General features: G+C 43.0%; 1 protein-coding gene, 1 non-coding gene and 3 pseudogenes across 7 annotated transcripts in view; 3 read left to right on the top strand and 2 right to left on the bottom strand.

Annotated features, from left to right (window-relative positions):
• PDZD2 (PDZ domain containing 2) overlaps nucleotides 1-22,309 on the top strand; it is a 471,802-nt gene that overhangs the window by 177,104 nt on the left and 272,389 nt on the right. The gene's annotated exons all lie outside the window — the stretch shown is intronic.
• On the bottom strand, nucleotides 4,326-4,395 carry RNU6-358P (RNA, U6 small nuclear 358, pseudogene; annotated as a pseudogene).
• RPL9P17 (ribosomal protein L9 pseudogene 17) lies at nucleotides 6,226-6,930 on the bottom strand (annotated as a pseudogene).
• LOC124901200 (small nucleolar RNA U13) lies at nucleotides 8,345-8,448 on the top strand. The gene has a single exon (XR_007059164.1). It is a non-coding gene; the product is annotated as a small nucleolar RNA U13 (small nucleolar RNA).
• On the top strand, nucleotides 16,205-16,301 carry RNU6-760P (RNA, U6 small nuclear 760, pseudogene; annotated as a pseudogene).

Consider the following 22,309-nt stretch of genomic DNA (forward strand, 5'->3'; position numbering starts at 1 on the left):
CCGAGATCGCGCCACTGCACTCCAGCCTGGGCGACAGAGCGAGACTCCATCTCAAAAAAAAAAAAAAAGATGACTGGGATTTTTCTTCTACGAAAAAGACAAGTGATTCAAATTTGAGGACCTTATCTCTGAAGCCAAGTACAGTAGTTCCCAGTGGCCTCCCTGGAGGCTATTTTTGCAAGGACAAACATGTCTCTCCAAGGTAAAGATGGTGTTGTAACAATAAATAAGAAAATAACTACTTTTCGAAAGAAAGTCATGCTATGCAAAGGGCATTTTCAAGATGGATATTAGGAAATGTTTCCATAGTGATATGACTTTTCTTTTTTTTTACAAAAATGTTAACATTTGCCAACAAAAAGTTTCAGATGCATCTTTAAAATCTTGAGAACAAAATTTTATATTTTTAAATCTTCCAAAGAATTTTAGAGGAGCTATATGTTAAAAACTATTAAAAGTACAGTAGCTTCAGAGTTTGCAAGAAAAATTTGACAAAATCAATGCACAATTTCAACCAAAACCAAAGCACAGGTGGTGGATAGGGTTGGAAAATGACTATTATGATTGATTAAATCATAATCAATGCCACTAACATATTTCTTCCATTTGAATCTATGTATCCTTGTGAGGTATCTTCAGCTATGGCAGCTGTTAAAAGCAGCATCCAGGCTGGGCGCCATGGCTCACGCCTGTAATCCCAGCACTTTGGGAGGCCGAGGCAGACGGATCACGAGGTTAGGAGATCGAGACCATCCTGGCTAGCAGGGTGAAACCCCGTGTCTACTAAAAATACAAAAAAACATTAGCCGGGCATGGTGACGGGTGCCTGTAGTCCCAGCTACTCAAGAGGCTGAGGCAGGAGAATGGCGTGAACCCAGGAGGTGGAGCTTGCGGTGAGCCGAGATCGCGCCACTGCACTCCAGCCTGGGCGACAGAGTGAGACTCCGTCTCAAAAAAAAAAAAAAAAAGCAACATCCAACCTGGTGTGGTGGCTCACACCTGTAATCCCAGCACTTTGGGAGGCTGAGGTGGGCAGATTACTTGAGGTCAGGAGTTCAAGAACAGCCTGGCCAACGTGGTGAAACCCTGTCTCTACTAAAAATGCAAAAATTAGCCGGCCGTGGTGGTGGATCCCTGTAATCCCAGCTACTTGGGAGGCTGAGGTGGGAGGATCCCTTGAATCCAGAGGCAGAGGCTGCAGTGAGCTGCGACTGCACCACTGCACTCCAGCCTGGGCAACAGAGCAAGACTCCATCTCAGAAAAAAAAAAAGTAGCACCCATTTGTTATGAAATTACTTGAAGCTATACTTCTGGCTTATCACATCCCAAAATGTTAAACCAAGTTTTTGAAAATCTTGAAGTATATTTAACTACATAGCTTTTAAAATATTAAGCACTTCAGGTTAAATATATTTATCCATCTATCTATCTATCTATATATTTTTTGAGACAGAGTCTCACTGTCTCACCCAGGCTGGAATGCAGTGGTGCAATCTCGGCTCACTGCAGCCTCTGCCTCCCGGGTTCAAGCAACTATCCTGCCTCAGCCTCCCAGGTAGCTGGGACTACTGGCACACACCACCAAGTCTGGCTAATTTTTGTATTTTTGGTAGAGACAGGATTTCACCATGTTCGTAAGGCTGGCCTTTAATTCATGACCTCAGGTGATCCGCCTGCCTTGGCCTCCCGAAGTACTGGGATTACTGGCATGAGCCACTGCACCTGGCCAATTTTTTTTTTTTTTTTTTTTTTTAGACAAGGTCTGTGTCTGTCACTCAAGCTGGAGTGCAATGGCACGATCACGGCTCACCGCAGCCTCAACTTCCCGGACTCAGGTGATCCTCCCACCTCAGCCTCACGAGTAGCTGGGACTACAGGTGCGTGTCACAAGGCCTGGCTAATGTTTTGTGTTTTTTTTTAGAGATGGGGTTTCGCTATGTTACCAAGGCTGGTGTTGAACTCCTGGGCTCAAGCAATCCACCTTCCTCAGCCTTCCAAAGTGTTGCGATTATAGGCGTGAGCCACCACACCCAGCCTCTCAATTTTCGTTTTTTACTGACAGGCATGAAAAATCAAAATTTCGAAAGTAGTCATCTCACAAGTAGAGAGTTTAGCCCTGTCCTCCTAGGGAAGGTGTCTCTTTTGAGATCTACAGGATCTAGATGTCTCTCATCCACCCTGTGCCTGCCACCCATCCTCCCCAGAGAACTGGTTTTCTTTGGGATCTGCAAACCAGACCTTCTAACTTCACCCTAGTTTCTCCTCTCTTGTTCTCTAGGTCTGACCCTTGAGTTCCCAAGGAGAGGAGTCAGTGTGTCCTGGCCAGCTACCCTACCAGGCACAGATGCACTGGCACCTCTTGCTGACTGCTTGCTCCCTGGACCATTTGCAAGCTCTCTGTGGCTCGTTCTTCTCCTGTTTATTCATTTTAGAACAACATATTTATAATTCTATCACTTAATTCCTCAGATACCCCGTCTCTCCTCCCACACTAATTTTTATTTATTTCAATGGCAACATTAAAACAGCATTTTAAAGAAAAGAACAACTTGTGATTCGCCTACACTAATTCTCCATTAATTTAATTTTTTTATGTTAAGATCTAGTCTGTGACCATGTGCCTACAGCTCTATCATGCTAACTCAACAGATATAATTTTTTGTTTCCTTCTAATCTATGTTCATTTGCAATATATATATTTTCAGACTGCCTTTGTTGATTCTTTTCATTGGAAAAGATTGTTTTACCATGTGCATGAGATAGAATGGAAGGACAGTGAGTGAAAAGTTTCCTCAGTTCAGACCTCCATTCTTTTGTCACTACAACCAGCTATACCCTGAGCCTCACTCTGTTACCAGTATCTTTCCAAGGATTCTCTAAGCATCTACAAGTACTCTGTTAATGTCTTTTTTACACAATGGGGCACATGGTCCACACTATTCTGAATCTTAACCTTCTTAAAAAATCTTAAAAACCCATCTTAGCACTTGTTTCAAATCAGAACATGTCACTTTGTCTCTCATTCTTTTTAACAGCTGTATAGTATCCCACTGGAGGTTCCTCATGTGATTTATTTGATCAGTGACCAACTGGTGGGTGTTTTTACTGTATAGTCTTTTTTGCTGTGTCCAGAATTCTGGGCTGGGTGTGGTGGCCCACACTTGTAATCCCAGCACTTTGTGAGGCTGAGGTGGGTGGATCACCTGAGGTCAGGAGTTGAAGACCAGCCTGACTAATATGGTAAAACCCCGTCTCTACTAAAAATACAAAAATTAGCTGCGAGTGGTGATGTACACCTGTAATCCCAGCTACTCAGGAGGCTGAGACAGGAGAGTCGTTCGAACCTGGGAGGCTGAGGTTGCAGTGAGCCGAGATCATGCCACTGCACTCCAGCCTGGGGGACAGAGCAAGACTCTGTCTCAAAAAAAAAAAAAAAAAGAATTCTGCAATACATTTTATGTTCATATGTCTGTGTATATGTATGAGTATATGTAATGGATACATTCGTAGAAGTGGGATCCTCAAATGAATCACATTTTAAATGTGTTACTCCTATTGCAAATTGCTTTCCCCAAGAGATTATACTAGTTTGTATCCCCAGTGACAATATACAAAAGTGCTGTTTTTCTCGCAGCTTCACAAACACCACAGGAATTACTTTGAATCATACTACGTGCAGAATTCTCTATTATCCTTTTCTTACCCACACAATGGGTGGGTTCAGTCACTTGACAGGTGACAGCCTGATGATGACAGTGAAGGAGGATTTGGCAAGGGATTTTATTCCTTGCAACAAGTCAAGTAAGGAGAATACCAGGGATAGCTCCCAATGCGGTGCCTCCCCAAGCTGGGGGCTGGGTCCGGTAATGAGGTGTAACCTGATTGGATCTTGCAATGAGGTGATGCTGGGATACTTGATATGACTGGATGTGGCCATGGGGTAATGCCAGAGCTCAATCTGATTGGATTCTGGATCCTGCCATACAGTGTCCCCTTCTTAATTCCATCCCACTCCTCAGCCCAAGCACTTAGGTTCTTCCTGTGGTTGCAGGCTTGGTTCATCTAGGCATGCTGAGGTCACATGACTTGAGGGACCATGGCAAACGAAAAACAGCTCTCCATGTTTTTACATAAAAGTGGAACCAGATTGGTCTGGTGTGACTACACTTTTTCACTTAACACATTTGAACACGTTCCTCCTTATTAAGTGGTCTTGATAGGTATAATCATCACTGATAATTTAGGTAAGCATGTTCTTTCTGTCCTTGCCAGTCTGTCAGTGTTAACACGGCATTTATTTTTTTTTAACTTTTTTTTAATTTTTATTTTTTCATCCTTGGGCAAGGGCCATGCTAATCTTCTCTGTATCGTTCCAATTTTAGTATATGTGCTGCTTAAAATGCTTGTGATCTTGACTATTTTTTTTCCTTTTGAACCATCCTTTTAGGACAAATTTCATGGAGTGAAGGTATTAAATCAAAGGACATTTTTGCCAAATTGTTTTATACAAATTATTTTACCAAATTACACCCCTACCAATAATGTATGAATGCCAGAGTGCCAGAAGCATTTCCAGGTTGGGTATTATAATTTAAATTTATGTTTTCTTAATTGAAATATGGCTCATTTTGTAGTTTTAATTTGCACTTATTTGATCAGGAAGTTTGGCCATTTTGCCCTAATTTTTTTTTTTCTATTTTATTTTACTTGTCATCTAAACAATCTATTCATGTCCTTTGTCCATTATCTCTTGGGGCCCTCATCTGCAGCACTGGATATGCATTTAAATATTATAGATCTTAATCTTTTTACCCCATGTGGTTAAAATTCTCCTTAATCTTTTAAATGTTGTTATTACTATATGGAAGTTTTAACTGTCTCTGAGGCAAGTCTGATTTTTTTCTTTTATAATCATCTTTTCACTTCTTCAGATCTTAGGATGATGTCATTTTCCCAAAGACCCACAACTCTCTTCTACCAATTTTAGTGATTACATTTTTAAATTTATCTTTAAAATTTAAATTTAAATTTAATGGGCATTTATTTTGATGGAAATTATAAATCTAATTTTTTGTAAATTACTATCTGATTATCTAAATACCATGTAATCATTAATTTTTCTCAGTTTGTGAGGTTTGAGTTATTATTATTATTTTTTTTTTTTGAGATGGAGTCTCACTCTGTCGCAAGGCTGAAGTGCAATGGCGCGATCTTGGCTCACTGCAACCTCCGTCTCCCAGGTTCAAGTGATTTTCCTGCCTCAGCCTCCTGAGTAGCTGGGACTACAGGCGTGCACCACCACACTCAGCTAATTTTTGTATTTTTAGTAGAGACGGGGTTTCACCATGTTGGCCAGGATGGTCTCGATCTTTTGACCTCGTGATCTACCCGCCTCGGCCTCCCAAAGTGCTGGGGTTACAGGCGTGAGCCACTGTGCCCGGCCATGATTTTTTTTTATTACACTTTAAGTTCTGGGATATGGGTGCAGAATGTGTAGATTTGTTACATAGGTATACATGTGTCATTGTGGTTTGCTGCGCCCATCAAGCCGTCATCTAGGTTTTAAGCCCCACATGCATTAGCTATTTGTCCTATGCTCTCCCTCCCCTTACCCCCATCCCCCAATAGGCCCCAGTGTGTGATGTTCTCCTCCCTGTGTCCGTGTGTTCTCATTGTTCAACTCCCACTTATGAGTGAGAACATGCGGTGTTTGGTTTTCTGTTTCTGTGTTAGTTTGCTGAGAATGATGGTTTCTAGTTTCATCCATGTCCCTGCAAAGGACATGAACTCATCGTTTTTTATGGCTGCATAGTATTCCGTGGTGTATATGTGCCACATTTTCTTTATCCAGTCTATCATTGATGGGCATTTGGGCTGGTTCCAAGTCTTTGCTATTGTAAATAGTGCTGCAATAAACATATGTGTACATGTGTCTTTATAGTAGAATGAGTTATAATCCTTTGGGTATATACCCAGTAATGGGATGATTTATTATGATTTATATGTGTACATACACAAACTTTTTTTCACGCAATCTTTTTTTTTTTTTTTTTTTTTTTGAGAGAGCGTCTCACTTTGTCACCCAGGCTGGAGTGCAGTGGCATGATCTCAGCTCACTGCAACGTCTTGTGCTCAAGTGATCCTCCCACCTCAGCCCCCCAAGTAGCTAGGACTACAGGTGCACACCACCACACCTGGCTAATTTTTTTATAGTTTTTTTTTTCCCAAATCAATAGGTCTTTTATTGCATCATTTAAATATCACATATAGGTCTTAGGAAGCATCCGGCATCTTGTTTCTGTAGCTGGACAACTCTTAGATCTTATTAATCAGCCTCCTGAATGGTTCGTTTTTTCAGAGACATAGATACCATCCAAAAATTTCCTGATATCCTTGTTTTTAACCTTGTGGCTTGCTGAATCAAAGCCACTGAATTTGAAACAAGCTCAATGTCATTTCCTTCAAGGATTAATTCATCTTTCTGAGTTTGAGATACTGAACAAGGAACACCTGGCCTCATCCAAATCCTGCAGATGTATTTTTCACCCAAGAAATTTCAGATTTCAACAGAAGACCAATTCTCCTGGATAATGATGTTGATGGGGAAGTGCACATACACAGACCTCATCTTGTAACGGAAGCCCAGTGTGACACCCTTGATCATGTTCTGTGCATAACTACAAATAGTCTGAACGGTGGCCAGCTCCTTTCTGTTACCCCACCATTTGTCAACCCGGGGCCTCTTTTTTTTCTTTCCGAGAAGACTGAGTTCTACGTTGATGTGATTGAAGTCCCTCCGCAGGGTTCCTCTGGGGCCCTTCACAATAACTGTGCATCCCTTTAGAGTAATATTGACATTTTCTGGAATGTTGACAGTCTGATTGCTGAGAATGGTCTTCATTCTCGCAGTAGACGTGGCAAAAAAAAAAAAAAAAAAAAAAAAAAAAGCAAGCATCTTTTGTGGCTCACGCCTGTAATCCCAGCACTTTGGGAGGCCAAGGCAGGTAGATCACGAGGTCAGGAGATCAAGACCAGCTGGGCCAAGGCATGGTGAAACCTGTCTTTACTAAAAATAGAAAAAAATTAGCTTGGTATGGTGGCGTGCACCTGTAATCCCAACTACTTGGGAGGCTGAGGCACAAGAATCATTTGGACCCAGGAGGCGGAGGTTGCAGTGAGCCAAGATCGCGCCATTGCACTCCATCCTGGGAGACAGAGTGAGACTCTGTCTCAAAACACAAACAAGCAAAACAAACAAAGCAGAAAGTTTGGCCGGTAACAGAAGTAACACTCAGAAAAATACTCCAGCTGACCTAGAGGAAAGCAAATAACCTCCACTGTCAACTGCAGATGGAGAAGTGCAACCTCTAGGAACTGAAAGCAGTCCCTGATTGGCAACTCACAGGAAAAAGATACCTCAGGCCTACAACCACAAAGAATTGAACTCTGCCATCAAGCGGTGAGCTTGGAAGATATAGGAGCAGGAAAACCACCTCCATCCTCTTACGGTCCTGAGAATTGAGATAAGATAGATTACAGGAAAAAAGCATACACATTTCTTTACAGATGTTTTACAGGAGTCCTCCTAAAATAATGAAGACCCAAAGAAGCAGTTATTGTCAGTTTCTTCCATTCTGGATTGGACGCAATAGTAAACTGTGAACATGTGTAAGGCGAAGGGGCTTGCACTAGGATAGTAAATAGGGTAGGAAAATAGCTAGGAAGAGAAAGGCTTGTTTGTACAGAATTTCCTTGACCTCAACTTTCTCGTCCTTGATGGCAAGGATGTTGCATCTTACTAGTATAGGGAGGGCGTCTTTCACATGGGAATTTAATCTTCTGATTTTAAGAAACAGCATGAAGGTCAAAGTGATCTTTTTGCACCTGCTGTTTTTCAAGTGCCTTTAACTTAAATAATCAGTATTCCAGGATAGCATATTTTAACTCCTTCAAAAAGGTCCCTGAGCCCCAGATGAGATTGTTGGCAGCTCCAGTCAACACAAGCCCAGCCATGCCATAGCTGTATTCTTACCTACAGAACCGTGAGCTAATAAATGGGTATTGCTCCAAAGCTTCTACATTTGTGGTAATTTGTTACGTAGCAATAGAAAACAAATATAATGGCAACATGCAATTTAGTACTTGATCCCTCTCCTGTCATTTACTCATTGTTTTGCATGTATAAATCTTGCCTTCCTTAACCAGATTATAACCTCCCTGAGAACCAGACCAAATTTGATGTTTTTTCTGCATAGCCAAATTATCTACCATGCCATAGGGGCTACACTGGGAGGAAGGTGGGGTGAGTGTTTAACATCCTGGCTTTAGAATCAGCCTGCCTTGATCCTTTTGTAGTTCGTGAGTATGATGACTGGGTGTTCACGGCCGTGTGTGAGATGTGCCACCCTCAAACCTTGTTGCAATGTCAGTGCATTACCTGTCTAACCTGAAAAAAAAAAAAAAGAATCAGACTGTCTTGGCTTAAATCTTGGCTTAAACTTTCTAAGCTTTAGTTCCCTCATTTTAAAATGGGAATAAAATGCGTTAGGAAAATTATGGAAAGATACACAAACATTGTTATCAGCAGTTACTTCAGAGGGAACGATTGCAGGATCAAATATCATAGGAGGTTTTTAGGATTAAATGAAATGATGCTTAGAAAGTTCTTAGGACAGTGCATGGCACATGGTAAAGCTCTATTAATACTAGCTCCGTGTTTGTAGAAAAACAGACCCTTTGACATGCTCGCCCTTCCTGCAGTTCCATATGTGCTAAATTTGTTTAGTATCACATGACACTGGCCCTGTCTCCCTACACACGCCCACGCATCCCCACCTCCACCTCCTGGCCACCCACCAGGGATAGATAGACTAAACCCAGCCATTAGACTTGACTGACAACCAGTTTAATCTCCTGAAAATCTGGAATCAAGCCAGTGAGAGACCACGCTGCTTTGCTGTGTGGGATGAGCTGGAACACCAAACGGAACCACATCTGGATTCATGTCCAGAAAGAGTCAGAGCCACATGCCCGTACTACAGTTACAGAATGGCAGACGTCAAGAGGAAGCTGGTTTCTTTAGAGGAACACAGAGTGGACATGCAGAAAAGGACAGGGATGAAAGACAGTGTCCCCAGAAAAAGGGATGGGACAGTACCTTCCAGGGGCTGGCAGTTTCCAGCACCAGTTCCCACAGTGCCTAGCTGGACTTGTTTCCCCAAGATCTCCATGTCCTCATAAGTGTCCTTTGCAAACAAATAAGCCCTAGCCAAAGAAAGGCTGCTGTGGGTGACAAATCAGACAGTCGGTCATGTTCTAATACATCCTGGGACACCGGGCTCTGGTGCTGACTCCACATCAATGTACAAGACAATTAAATGGTATTTGTAGTCTTTTTCCAGACCTTTTTTCAACTGTCAGCACAGTTGAATTCCCAGTGGCCTCTGGAGGGCACTATTCAGTTAAGTTTATTCCACGGTAGTGAGCACTACACCAGCAGAGCATTTAAGGAAAAGGTGTTTGAAATAATAGTTACCATTTCCTGAGTACCAACAACATGCTAACCACGGTGCTGCTTGCTTTACGTATATTGTATCTTAAACAATCACAACGGCTGTTTCCATCCAGCAATTGGAGATTGTTTTCGAGCATGGTTACTTGTTTCCACAGGCATGCTATTAACAGGTGTCAAGCAAAAGGAAAGCTTTTTTTTTTTCCTCTTTTAATGAACAGGAAGACTGAGTTTACAGCTCCTGATGCGAACCAGTTCAAGTTCAGTTGCCCCTCAATGTACTCCTTTTTAATTAGAAAAACAACAAATGTAGCACCATTGCAACACAGAGGGGAAAAGATATTTGGTACGGGGGTATAAATATCTGGGTCCCTCTTCTCTCTCAAGGTGAGGCAAAATGTTTCCTGTCTCCTGCCTTTTATCCATGCCCCCAAGATAATCGTGTTGGTTTCATGCCCGGCTGTGGGCTGCTAGGGAGTGGGAGCTGCTCCACAGGGAAGAAGTTTTTGTTCTCTACCTTGCTCAATGCCACCGTGGTGGGGAGGGTAGGAGTGAGGCTCCAAACCTTTTCAGGTAACAGTTCCCTGCAAAGTCTGAAAACAACCACTGACCTGTCTCCCTTTTATTTTTTACAAGATATTTGAGGCCAGCCACGGTGGTTCATGTCTGTAATCTCAGCACTTTGGGAAGCCGAGGCGGGTGGATCATTTGAGGTCAGGAGTTCAAGACCAGCCTGACCAACATGGTGAAACCCTGTCTCTACTAAAAATACAAAAAAAATTAGCCAGCTGTGGTGGCACGCACCTGTATTCCCAGCTACTTGGGAGGCTGAGGCAGGAGAATCACTTGAACTCGGAAGGCAGAGGTTGCAGTGAGCCGAGATCACGCCACTGCACTCCAGCCCGGGTGACAGAACAAGACTCTGTCTCAAAAAAAAAAAAAAGATATATGAAACCTGTTTATTCGATATTATCAATGTAAATTAAAACATTTATCAGATATTACCCAAATGAGCCACATGCATTAGGTATATGCTTCTCATTTACTTCTTACAACATCCCTATGAGGTAAGAGGCGAGTATTATTACCTGCATTCACAGATGAGGAAATATAGGCTGAGAAAGATTGGATAAACCCATCTATTAAGAGACAGAGCCTGGAATCGAGCCGGGGTGACCTGCCTCCAAGACCTGAGTCTTTTTTTGCTGGGATGCTCTGTCAATTGCTACCCATATGCCAAATAGTGTGTCTGTCCCTATAGACAGCACGTCCATTCCCCAGAAAGGAGCGTAACCTTCCTGTAGGCAGCAACAATTCTGTAAGTGGCATCCTGGCCAGGGAACCTTGCTCTTTATTCATGAGGTCACTGTCTTGCCACTTCCCCACTATGGAGGGGTGAACCGGGAATCAGAAAATCTGGGTTCTGAACACTTTCTTAATCTATATTTATTCATTTAAGGATATTTACTGACCACCTACTGTTTCAGCTCTGGAACTGCATATTGGGGAAATACTCTTCTATAAAACATATAAAGTCCCTGGTTTTCTGGGGCCTTTATCCGTGCCTTGGAAAACTGACTTATCCTTGTAGGCGTAATTGTGATTAATAACGATATGAAGGAATTTTTAAAGTAAGCTTTCTTGTTATATAATAGCTTTCCTGAGGCTGGGTGTGGTGGCTCATGCCTGTAATCCCAACACCTTGGGAGGCTGAGGTGGGTGGATCACTTGAGATCAGGAGTTCGAGACTAGCCTGGCCAACATGGTAACACCCCGTCTCTACTAAAAATACAAAAATTAGCTGGGTATGGTGGCATGCGCCTGTAATCTCAGCTACTCAGGAGGCTGAGGCAGGAGAATTGCTTGAACTGAGAGGCAGAGGTTGCAGTGAGCTGAGATCACGCCACTGCACTCCAGCCTGGGTGATAGAGCAAGACTCTGTCTCAAAAAAAATAAATAAATAAAAAAATAAAAATAATTTTAAAATGGCTTTACTGAGATGTTCACCTACTATAAAATTTATCCTTTAAAATGTACAATTGAGTGGTTTTATAGATTCACAGCATTGAATATCACCAATATCTAATTTTAGGACGTTTTTATCCTTCCAAAAAGAAGACACATACCTATTACAGGGATTCTCCATACTCCGCTTCTCCAAGCCCCTGGAAACCTACTTTCTGTTCCTATAGATTTACCTATTCCAGATATTTCAGTACATGGTCTTCTGTACTGAAAGTGTAATGACTTCAGTGCTCATCTGTGTTTCAGTATGATTCAGAACTTTACTTTGTTATATTGCCAAATAGTATTCCATATGTTTAACCACATTTGTTTAACCATCCATCCATTTGTGGACATTTGGGTCATTTCCACTTTTTGACTATTATGAATCATGCTGTGAACATTGGTGTACAAGCTTTTGTGTGAGTATGTTTTCAGTTCTGTTGGATATATATGTAAGAATGGAATTGATGATGATATAGTAACTCTATGTGTAACTTTTTGAGAAATCTCCAAATTGTTTCTCAGGACTATTTTACATCCCCACCAGCAGTGTATAAGGGTTCTAATTTCTCCACATTCCTGCCAACACTTGTGACCTGTCTTTATGAGACCAGCCATCCTAGTGGGTGTGAAGCTGTATCTCACTGTGACTTTGATTTGTATTCTCTAATGATTAATCATGTTGAACACCTTTTCATGTGTTTTTGAACCTTTGTATATCTTTGGAGAGATGTCTATTTATTTTATTTTTTAAGACAGGGTCTTCCGCTGCCACCCAGCCTGGAGTGCAGTGGCATGAGTGCAGTGCAGAGGCTCACTGTAGCCTCAACCTCCTGGGCTCCAGCAATCCTCCCACCTTATTCTCCTGAATAGCCAGGACTACAGGCATACGCCACTACACCTGGCTAATTTTGTAAAAAATTTTTTTGTAGAGACAGGGTCTTGCTGTGTTTCCCATACTGGTCTCAAACTCCTGGCCTCAAGCCATCTTCATGCCTCAGCCTTAGAAAGCACTAGGATTATAAGCATGAGCCACCATGCCCAGCTAGAAATATCTATTTTAATTCTTTACCCACTTTTACATTGAGTTGTAAGAATTCTTTATATAGCCTAGATACAAGTTCCTTAGCAGATATATGATTTGCAGATATTTTCTCAGGCAGCTGCACATATTAAACAATTGCCATGGATTGTTTTCAACAAATAACCTAGGGACAAGGCTACTTTTGCAGCATCAGCTCTGAATCAAGTCAAGTAAGGAGAAACCTTGAAAATGGAGCCTTTCAGAGAGCTGTTGGACAGGTCAAGTAATAACAATTCTGTGAAGATAGAGTTTTTGGGGGCTTCCAAACTTGTTCTGCCTCAGTGGCTGCTAGTGATGTTTCAAGCTTTTGGCTAACTTCCAGAGTTCTGAAAAAGTTGATTTTGGTCATTTTTTCTAGTGTTTTTGTTACTCTTATAGAGGTGTGGATTTTTGGAGGTCTTTATTTTTATCATTCCAGAAGGGCTTTTTCCAGTAAACTTATCTTTGAAATACGATATACGTAAAGGCACATATCAAAAGTATTCAGCTTAGTGAATTTTTTTTTTTTTTGAGACAGTCTTGCTCTGTTGCCAAGGCTGGAGTGCAGTGGCATGATCTCAGCTCACTGCAACCTCTACCTCCCAGGTGCAAGCTATTCTCCTGTCTCAGCAGAGTAGATGGGATTGCAGGCACCACACCTCGCTAATTTTTGTATTTTTAGTAAAAACAGGGTTTCACCATGTTGGCATGGCTGGTCTCAAACTCCTGACCTCAGATGATCCACCCGCCTCGGCCTCCCAAAGTGCCAGGATTACAGGCATGAACCACCACACCCAGCCCAGCTTAGTGAATTTTTATATTAACCATCACCCAAACTGAGAAACAGAACTTAACTAGTATGTCAGAGCCCTCCTTCTTACCTCTTACCAGTTACTAACCCCCCTTTACCAAAGTAAAGTGGTATCCAATAGCTGTAAGAACTTTCCTATCTATGGCTGGGTGTGGTGGCTCATGCCTGTAATTCCAGCACTTTCGGAAGCCAAGGTGAGTGGATCACTTGAGGTCAGGAGTTCAACCTGGCCAACATGGTGAAACCCTGTCTGTACTAAAAATACAAAAAATTAGCCGAGTGTGGTGGTAGGTGCCTGTAATCCCAGCTGCTCTGGAGGCTGAGGCAAGAGGGTCGCTTGAACCTAGGAGTCAGAGGTTGCAGTGAACCAAGATCATGCCACTGCACTGTAGCCTGGGTGACAGAGCGAGACTCCATCTCAAAGAAACAAGAAACAAAAAACTTTCTTGTCTAGTACCATTCTGATTTTTTCCAACTGTTTCATTCTACTTGTTCACATTTTCCCTCCAAACCACTCCCTTAATACATTTAATCCAATGGCTTTTTTTTTTTTTTTGAGACGAAGTTTCGCTCTGCCGCCCAGGCTGGAGTGCAGTGGAGCGATCTCGGCTCACTGCAAGCTCCGCCTCCCGGGTTCACGCCATTCTCCTGCCTCAGCCTCCCGAGTAGCTGGGACTACAGGCGCCCACCACCACGCCCAGCTAATTTTTTTTTTTTTTTTTGTATTTTTAGTAGAGACGGGGTTTCACCGTGTTAGCCAGGATGGTCTTGATCTCCTGACCTCGTGATCTGCCCGTCTTGGCCTCCCAAAGTGCTGGGATTACAGGCGTGAGCCACTGCACCTGGCTCTGATGGCATTTTTAACTTGTATGTTTTATTTTTTTAATATTCAACTTTTAAAAAATTATGAACTAGCCTATTTGGGACATCCATTTGTTTCTGTCAAGCTCCTCCTGCCTCCCCAGATTCCTCTGTCATCACAGCCATTTCCCTATCAGTAAGCCAGGCCCTGGAGTATTGGCTGTTAATTCTCCTCTATCCCTTTTTCCCAGACTTGCAGACACCCTTGATCATCCACATAAAAAGGGAAGCTGAGATGTCTTCAGGATAAAGTTACATGTTTTTTCATGAGACTTCTGCACAGTGTCCAAACACTCTGATCTGTACAGATAGAAAGGACACTTCTTGAGAGTCTTTTGGGAGAAGCCTTATCCTGCAATTCTGATTTCTTTGCTTTTCCTGACCAAGGCTTCTCAGGCTAATTCAGAGGCATTGTGGCACAGCTCAGACAGCAAGCAGTGACATTCTGAAGTTGCTTCTTCTGAGGAATTCACCCAGTGGGAAAGCAAGGGAGGATGGAAGACTTCTTGGGCAGTTTACGAAGTGTGGAGACCCAGTTCCCTGTTAGTGCTTTTCCTTATCAGAGATCATTACCTGGTAGAAAAGGAGATGTTCTGATGGAGGATTAAGCTAGATATAGTAAGTCACAGTGATATGGACATTTGAAAGTAATTGCTTGGGAAATGTAAAGAGGTCACAGTGGTTGAACTTAATGGTACAAAGAATAACCATGGGGCCAGGGGCAGTGGCTCACGCCTGTAATCCCAGCACTTTGGGAGGCTGAGGCAGTGGATCACGAAGTCAAGAAATCGAGACCATCGTGGCCAACATGGTGAAACCCCATCTCTACTAAAAATACAAAAATTGGCCGGGTGCAGTGGTTCACACCTGTAATCCCAGCACTTTGGGAGGCCGAGGCGGGTGGATCACGAGGTCAAGAGATCAAGACCATCCTGGCCAACATGGTGAAACCCCGTCTCCACTAAAAATACAAAAATTGGCCGGCTGTGGTGGCTCACGCCTATAATCCCAGCACTTTGGGAGGCCGAGGCGGGTGGTTCACAAGGTCAAGATATCAAGACCATCCTGGCTAACATGGTGAAACCCCGTCTCTACTAAAAAATACAAAAATTAGCTGGGCATGGTGGTGTGTGCCTGTAGTCCCAGCTACTTGGGAGGCTGAGGCAGGAGAATTGCTTGAACCTGGGAGGCGGAGGTTGCAGTGAGCCGAGATTGCGCCACTGCACTCCAGCTTGGCGACAGAGCAAGACTCCATCTCAGAAAAAAAAAAAAAAAATTAGCTGGGCGTGGTGGCGCTCACCTGTAGTCCCAGCTACTCAAGAGGCTAAGGCAGGAGAATCACTTGTACCTGGGAGGTGGAGGTTGCAGTGAGCCAAGATTGCCCCACTGCACTCCAGCCTGGGTGACAGAGTGAGACTGTTTCAAAAAAAAAAAAAAAAAAAAAAAGAATAACGATGGGGTGGGGAAAAGTATAAATGGAGTGAAAATTTTGGGCAAAGATAAGTGACTCAAAGTAACTAATAAAATGATTAAAAATCAATTCTGACTTTTAGTAGGTTTTTGTTTTGTTTTTTGTTTGTTTGTTTTAGAGATGGAGTCTCACTATGTTGCCCACGCTGGTCTCCAACTTGTAGACTCAAGTGATCCTCCCACCTTGGCCTCCCAAAGTGTTTGGATTACAGGCATGAGCCTGGCGTGATTCCATTTATGTAAGGGTCCTAGAATAGTCAAATTCATAGAAACAGAAAATGAAATGGAAGTTACCAGAGGTCGGGAGAAGGGACGAATGGAGAGTTATTAGTGGATGTAAAGTTTCAGCCTGGTGTGATGAAAAAGCCCTGGAGACGGGTAGTGGTGATGGTTGCACAACAACATGAATGTATTTATTGACACTCAACTGTACACTTGAAAATCATTCAAAAGGGTGCTTGCTTAAAATAATTAAAAAGGGTGCTTGCTTTGGCATCACCTATACTAAAATTGGAACAATACAGAGAAGATGAACATGGCTCCTGCTCAAGGATTTTTAAAAATAATAAAAATGGGTCGGGCGCGGTGGCTCATGCCATTAATCCCAGCACTTTTGGGGGACCCAGGCAGGCAGATCACCTGAGGTGAGGAATTTGAGACCAGTCTGGCCAACACGGTGAAACCCCGTCTCTACTGAAAATACAAAAATAAGCCAGGCACGGTGGCGGGCGCCTGTAAACCCAGCTACTCAGGAGGCTGAGGCAGGAGAATCACTTGAGCCCAGGAGGCGGAGGTTGCAGTGAGCCGAGATCGCGCCACTGCACTCCAGCCTGGGTGACAGAGCGAGACTCTGTCTCAAAAAAAATTAAAATGGTCAATTTTATTTTATGTATATTTTACCACAGTAAAAAGATGTGCAGTTAAGTACAAACCTAGTGTGTGAGGAAAAGTTTGGGGTCACAGGTGGCCAAGGCCTTGGGGAACACATTGGTGTCTTTAAGGAGGTTTTCCCTCGTTCCACAAGTCCCATGAGCAGGCCTGACCAACCCACTGCCACAGTGTCATTAACACTGTTAGCACAGTCGGTAGCCACTGTCTGTGCCTGGTTGATTAATAAGAAAGTACTTAGCTTCCTTCCAAAACTCTGGAAAAATGAGACAAATGTCATTAAAAGGTTAAGACACTTGTTGCTAATATCTTAAAAGTGGCCACTAGAAACAAAGGTGGAGGCTGGGCCTGGTGACTCATGCCTGTAATCCCGGTGCTTTGGGAGGCTGAGGTAGGCAGATTGCTTGAGTCCAGGAGTTTGAGAAAGCCTGGGAGACATGGCAAAACCACGTCTCTACAAAAAATACAAAAATTAGCCAGATGTAGTGGCACATGCCTGTAGTCCCAGCTACTGAGGAAGCTAAGGCAGGAGGATTACTTGAGTCTGGAAGGCAGAGGTTGCAGTGAACTGAGATGGTGCCACTGCACTGTAGCCTGGGCAACAGAGTGAGACCCTGTCTCAAAAAAAAAAGAAAAAAAAAAAAAAAAAGAATGGCCTTGATCTCCTGAGCTCGTAATCCGCCCACCTTGGCCTCCCAAAGTGCTGGGATTACAGGCATGAGCCAGTTGCAGTGAGCCGAGATTGCGCCATTGCACTCCAGCCTGGGCAACAAAATGAGACCCTGTCTCAAAAAAAAAAAAAAAGAAAAGAAAAGAAAAAAGAAACAAACAAAGGTGGAGATGGAAATGTGAATCCATTTCAATTACCTGGGCCCTCTAGAGACCTCTGTAAAACCTTTAGGGCAGAGCTTTCTACCGTTTATCCTGAAGGCTGAGACAATCTGGTGACAACCTCAACTGGGACCTTGAGAGCAGCAGTGACCTAGGCTCCGACTCCCCTGGTGGGGACTATGGCCATGGTGACATCATGAGGCTTCCTTGGCCCATCAACCTGTACCCTGTGCCTGCTGGGCAGTGCAGGGTGGTTGAGAGGCCAGGTTAGCCACCAGGATGCCACCATGCCAGAGATGAGGGATGCCTCAGAGGAGAAAGTTCTATGGGGTGTCCACTCTTCCTCCTCTGATGCAGAATTTGATGCAATGGCTGGACATTTATAGGCCATTTTCTTGGATGATGAATTCTGTTTAATACAAAGGAACTTCAAGAACAAGAAGCACTGGAAGCTAAGCCAGGTTTTGTTGCCAAGAGGAGGAAACAACCAAAAAGGGTTCCCCTACCCTCTGACTCCTTCTTTAAGGGACCCCACAGCTCAACAAGCCTGTGTCCAGTTGGAGCACCTGCCCTGCTCTCCTCCACTGCTAGCTGACCGCCAATTCCAGGTTTGAAGATATGGAACAGGATATGCCCATATTCTCCATTTTTAACTAATAACCCTTTTAGTGAAGAGCTTCTGCCTGAAGAGGGTTCCTGGAAATTAATATGGTTGATTTCATGACAACTAGACATCAGCTTAAAGATGAAGTGGCAAAAAGTTTCTTGAATTTATGAACACTCTTCCCCCCAAAATTTGAACTATGCAACAGAAATAGAAGATAGAGAAAAGGATCTAAACTGTTGCTTAACAGTGAAAGTCTTTGCACATACCTTTCTGCTACCCAGCAAATTTTGTTTGGTGCTCATTCCTGGGGAAGTTTTTTCATTTTGGTATTTCAAGCCCCACAGGTGGTAGATGACCTCAGCTTGTGGAGGAAAAAAAAAATCAGTGATTAGGGAACATACCTTTAAGAGATTTATCTTACTTGGAGCATTGCACACCGGGGCCTGTTGTGGGGTGGGGGGAAGGGGGAGGGATGGCATTGGGAGATATACCTAATGCAAATGACAAGTTGATGGGTGCAGCACACCAACATGGCACATGTATACATATGTAACAAACCTGCATGTTGTGCACATGTACCCTAGAACATAAAGTATAATAAAAATATATATATTTGTATATATATAACTAGATATATATATAAAATCTCTTTATATATATGTAAAGAGATTTATCTCATTTGATCTTTAGTTGGTCTAAATAAGGAGTGATCAAAAAGCAAGAAACATGAACTCTTCAGGAATATTTGCTTTTGAGAAATATGTGCTAGTGTTTCAAAACTTTGATAGCCTCGTGAAGTGGATTCACCTCTTAGATGATTTTGAGGCAAAGAAAAAACATTCTGTATGTTAGAGGAAGACACTTCAAATCACTGCTGTGCTGACTTCTTCTCGTGTACATAATCCAAAGGTAGTGGAGCTGAAAGGTGGTCACTGATGTGTGGGCATCATTGAGATGAGATCACTGCAAGTTATTATCCCTCGAATATCTTCCACACCTTTCTTCTATGTGCTGTGCTGTTCTATTTAATGTTTTCAAAAGTGTTTCTTTTAGGGCCAGGAGCAGTGGCTCACACCTGTAATCTCAGCACTTGGGAGGCCGACGCAGGTGAATCACTTGAGGTCAGGAGTTCGAGACCAGCCTGGCCAACATGATGAAACCTGTCTTTACTAAAAATACAAAATTAGCCAGGCGTGGTGGCGGACACCTGTAATTCCAGCTACTTAGGAGGCTGAGGCAGGAGAATCGCTTGAACCTGGGAAGCAGAGATTGCAGTGAGCCAAGATCGCGCCACTGCACTCCAGCCTGGGCAACAATAGTGACACTCCATCTCAAAAAAAAAAAAAATGTATCTTTTAGCTTCAAGGACCCTGCCTTACTGACCAAGAAGATAAGAATTCATCTAGGGACAGTTACATGAACTCATCTTCTCAGTCTTGATTTCTAGAGCTGATGTTTAACTTTTCATCAATTGGACTGAGAAAATGAGATCTTCATTGTCTTGGGTAGGGTCAGCATCTCTAACTAGCACAGCACCTAACACCTAGTGAAAACTCAACAAATGTTTGTTGAGTGACATAAGCGTTCCTTCTGAAAATGCACGTCTTGGGTTTGTGTATCTTCTTTCACTGGTCCTGAATCAGTCCTATTATTTCCAGCAGGCTCATCACTCATTGACAATGTAGTCATAAACCCTTGTGGGTCTCAATTTGGAATGTCCATGATTGTCCACCTAAAAATAAATAGAAGTATTATGTGTTAAGTGCTTTTTAAATCTGCTATGTTTGCAAAAAGGATTCTGCGTTGGTGCTCCCAATTTACCAGTCTGACTTAGATGTTTTGAAATAGAGTGAAATGTATCTTTATTAAAAAACAGCACAGTAATGGTATTTGTGTAAGCTTGTTTCAATGTTTTCTCTATAAACCAATAGTAATTTTATTGGCTTTTTTTTTTTTTTTTGAGACAGAGTCTTGATCTGTGGCCCAGGCTGGAGTGCAGTGGAGTGGCATGATCTTGGCTCACTGCAACCTCCACCTCCAGGGTTCAGGCAATTCTCTTGCCTCAGCCTCCCAAGTAGCTGGGATTACAGATGTGCACCACCACACCTGGCTAATTTTTGTATTGTAAAGACGGGGTTTTGCTGTGTTGGTCAGGCTGATTTCAAACTCCTGACCTCAAGTGAGCCACCTGCCTCGGCCTCCCAAAGTGCTAGGATTATAGGTGTGAGCCACTGCGCCTTGCCAATTTTATTGTTTTTGAGGGAAAAATCCATGATTTTTACAAATGTCCCCAACTTGATCTAAATCCTCCTTTCTTTTACAACCTCTCCTAGAGATGATGCTCTAATGACAAAAGCAGAGAGGTAGGCAAAGGTTTTTTATGATTCCCTCTAGAAATTTTGTTTAGAAAAGGGTACGTCATCTGTCCAGGATTAGTAAAATAAATTATGTAGGCTGGGCGAGGTGGTTTATGCCTGTAATCCCAGGACTTTGGGAGGCCCAGGTGGGTGGATCACCTGAGGTCAGGAGTTCAAGACCAGCCTGGCCAACATGATGAAACCCAGTCTCTACAAAAATACAAAAATTAGCTGGGCATGATGGTGGGTGCCTGTAATCCCAGCTACTCTGGAGGCTGAGATGAGAGAATTGTTTAAATCCAGGAGGTGGAGGTTGCAGTGAGCCAAGATCACGCCATTGCATTCCAGCCTGGGCAACTGAGCGAGACTGTCTTAAAAGAAAGAAAGAAAGAAAGAAAGAAAGAAAGAAAGAAATTAAAAATAAATAAATAAATCATGTAGACTAATCCACTTCTGGAAGAAGAGGAAAGGTGTACTTGAGTTAATTCCTGCTGTGTAATAAGATTCTATATTGAATTCTCAATGAGAATATCAGCCTGGATCCCTCCCCACAAAATGCAGACTCTCCACACCTGTGCTGTGCATTCTTGAAGGTGAACTAGTCTCATACACACACTTTGCTGACGAGAAGCTCCAAGCCCAGTAGGTGAAGAGACTCCCTTTGGGTACCAGGGGGAGCAGAGTCACGACAAGCAGCTAGGCCTCTGGACTTGCTGGAGCCTTCTTGCCAGGGAACAGCAAACTCCCACCTGCCAGCTGAGAATGGTTTTATATTTTTAAACGATCATAAAGAATATGAGGCCAGGCACAGTGGCTCATGCCTGTAGTCCCAGCACTTTGGGAGGCCGAGGTGGGCAGATCATTTGAGGTCAGGAGTTTGAGACCAGCCTGGCCAACCTGGTGAAACCCTGTTTCTACTAAAAATACAAAAAATTACCCAGGCATGGTGGTCCATGCCTGTAATCCGAGCTACTCGGGAGGCTGAGGCAGGAGAATCACTTGAACTTGGGAGGCAGAGGTTGCAGTGAGCCGAGATTGTGTCACTGTACTCCAGCCTGGGTGACAAGAGTGAGACTCCATCTCAAAAAAATAAAAATTAGCCGGGCATGATGGTGTGTGCCTGTAGTGCCAGCTGCTTGTGAGGCTGAGTTGTGAGGATCACCTGAGCCCAATAGGTAGAGGCTGCAGTGAGCTGAGATCGCACCACTGCCCTTTGGCCTGGGTGAGTGACACAGTGAGACCTTGTCTCAAAAATAAAAAGCAAAAAGTAAATGAAGTAAGACTAAAGAAACTAAGATGAACAGCTAAAAAAGAGCAAGAAAATGTATATACACATGGTATCTGTAAAGTTTGGAAACAGGTAAAATACACAAAATTCTGTGAGATCTTCAATCTGTAAAAAATAAAATTATATTAAAAATTATATCCTGTGTTTATACTTTATGGACCCCAGGGTCCACTGTTGGAGTGCAGTGGCATGATCTCAGCTCACTGTAACCTCCGCCTCCAGGGTTCAAGCAATTCTCCCACCTCAGCCTCCCAAGTAGCTGGAATTACAGGTGCCCTCCATCACACCCAGCTAATTTTTGTATTTTTATTAGAGATGGGGTTTTGCCCTGTTGGCCAGGCTGGTCTTGAAGTCCTGACCTCAAATGATCTGCCTGCCTCAGCCTCCCAAAGTGCTGGGATTACAGGCATGAGCCACCATACCCCAGCAAGGTATATTTTAATCCCCAGAAATCCATGGAGCTAGAAATGCTCCTCAAAGAGATCCATATAATCACGTGGCTCAGCAGCACAAACAGCCTCTCATCTCTGGAATCACAGTCTAAAAGATTTTGATAATTAACCTTCGTTTTCTACTTTGAGAAAGAAACTCACCCAAATTCAAACAGGTAAACA

The sequence above is a fragment of the Homo sapiens genome, chromosome 5 (genome assembly GCF_000001405.40).
Source record: "Homo sapiens chromosome 5, GRCh38.p14 Primary Assembly".
Lineage (NCBI taxonomy): Eukaryota > Metazoa > Chordata > Mammalia > Primates > Hominidae > Homo > Homo sapiens.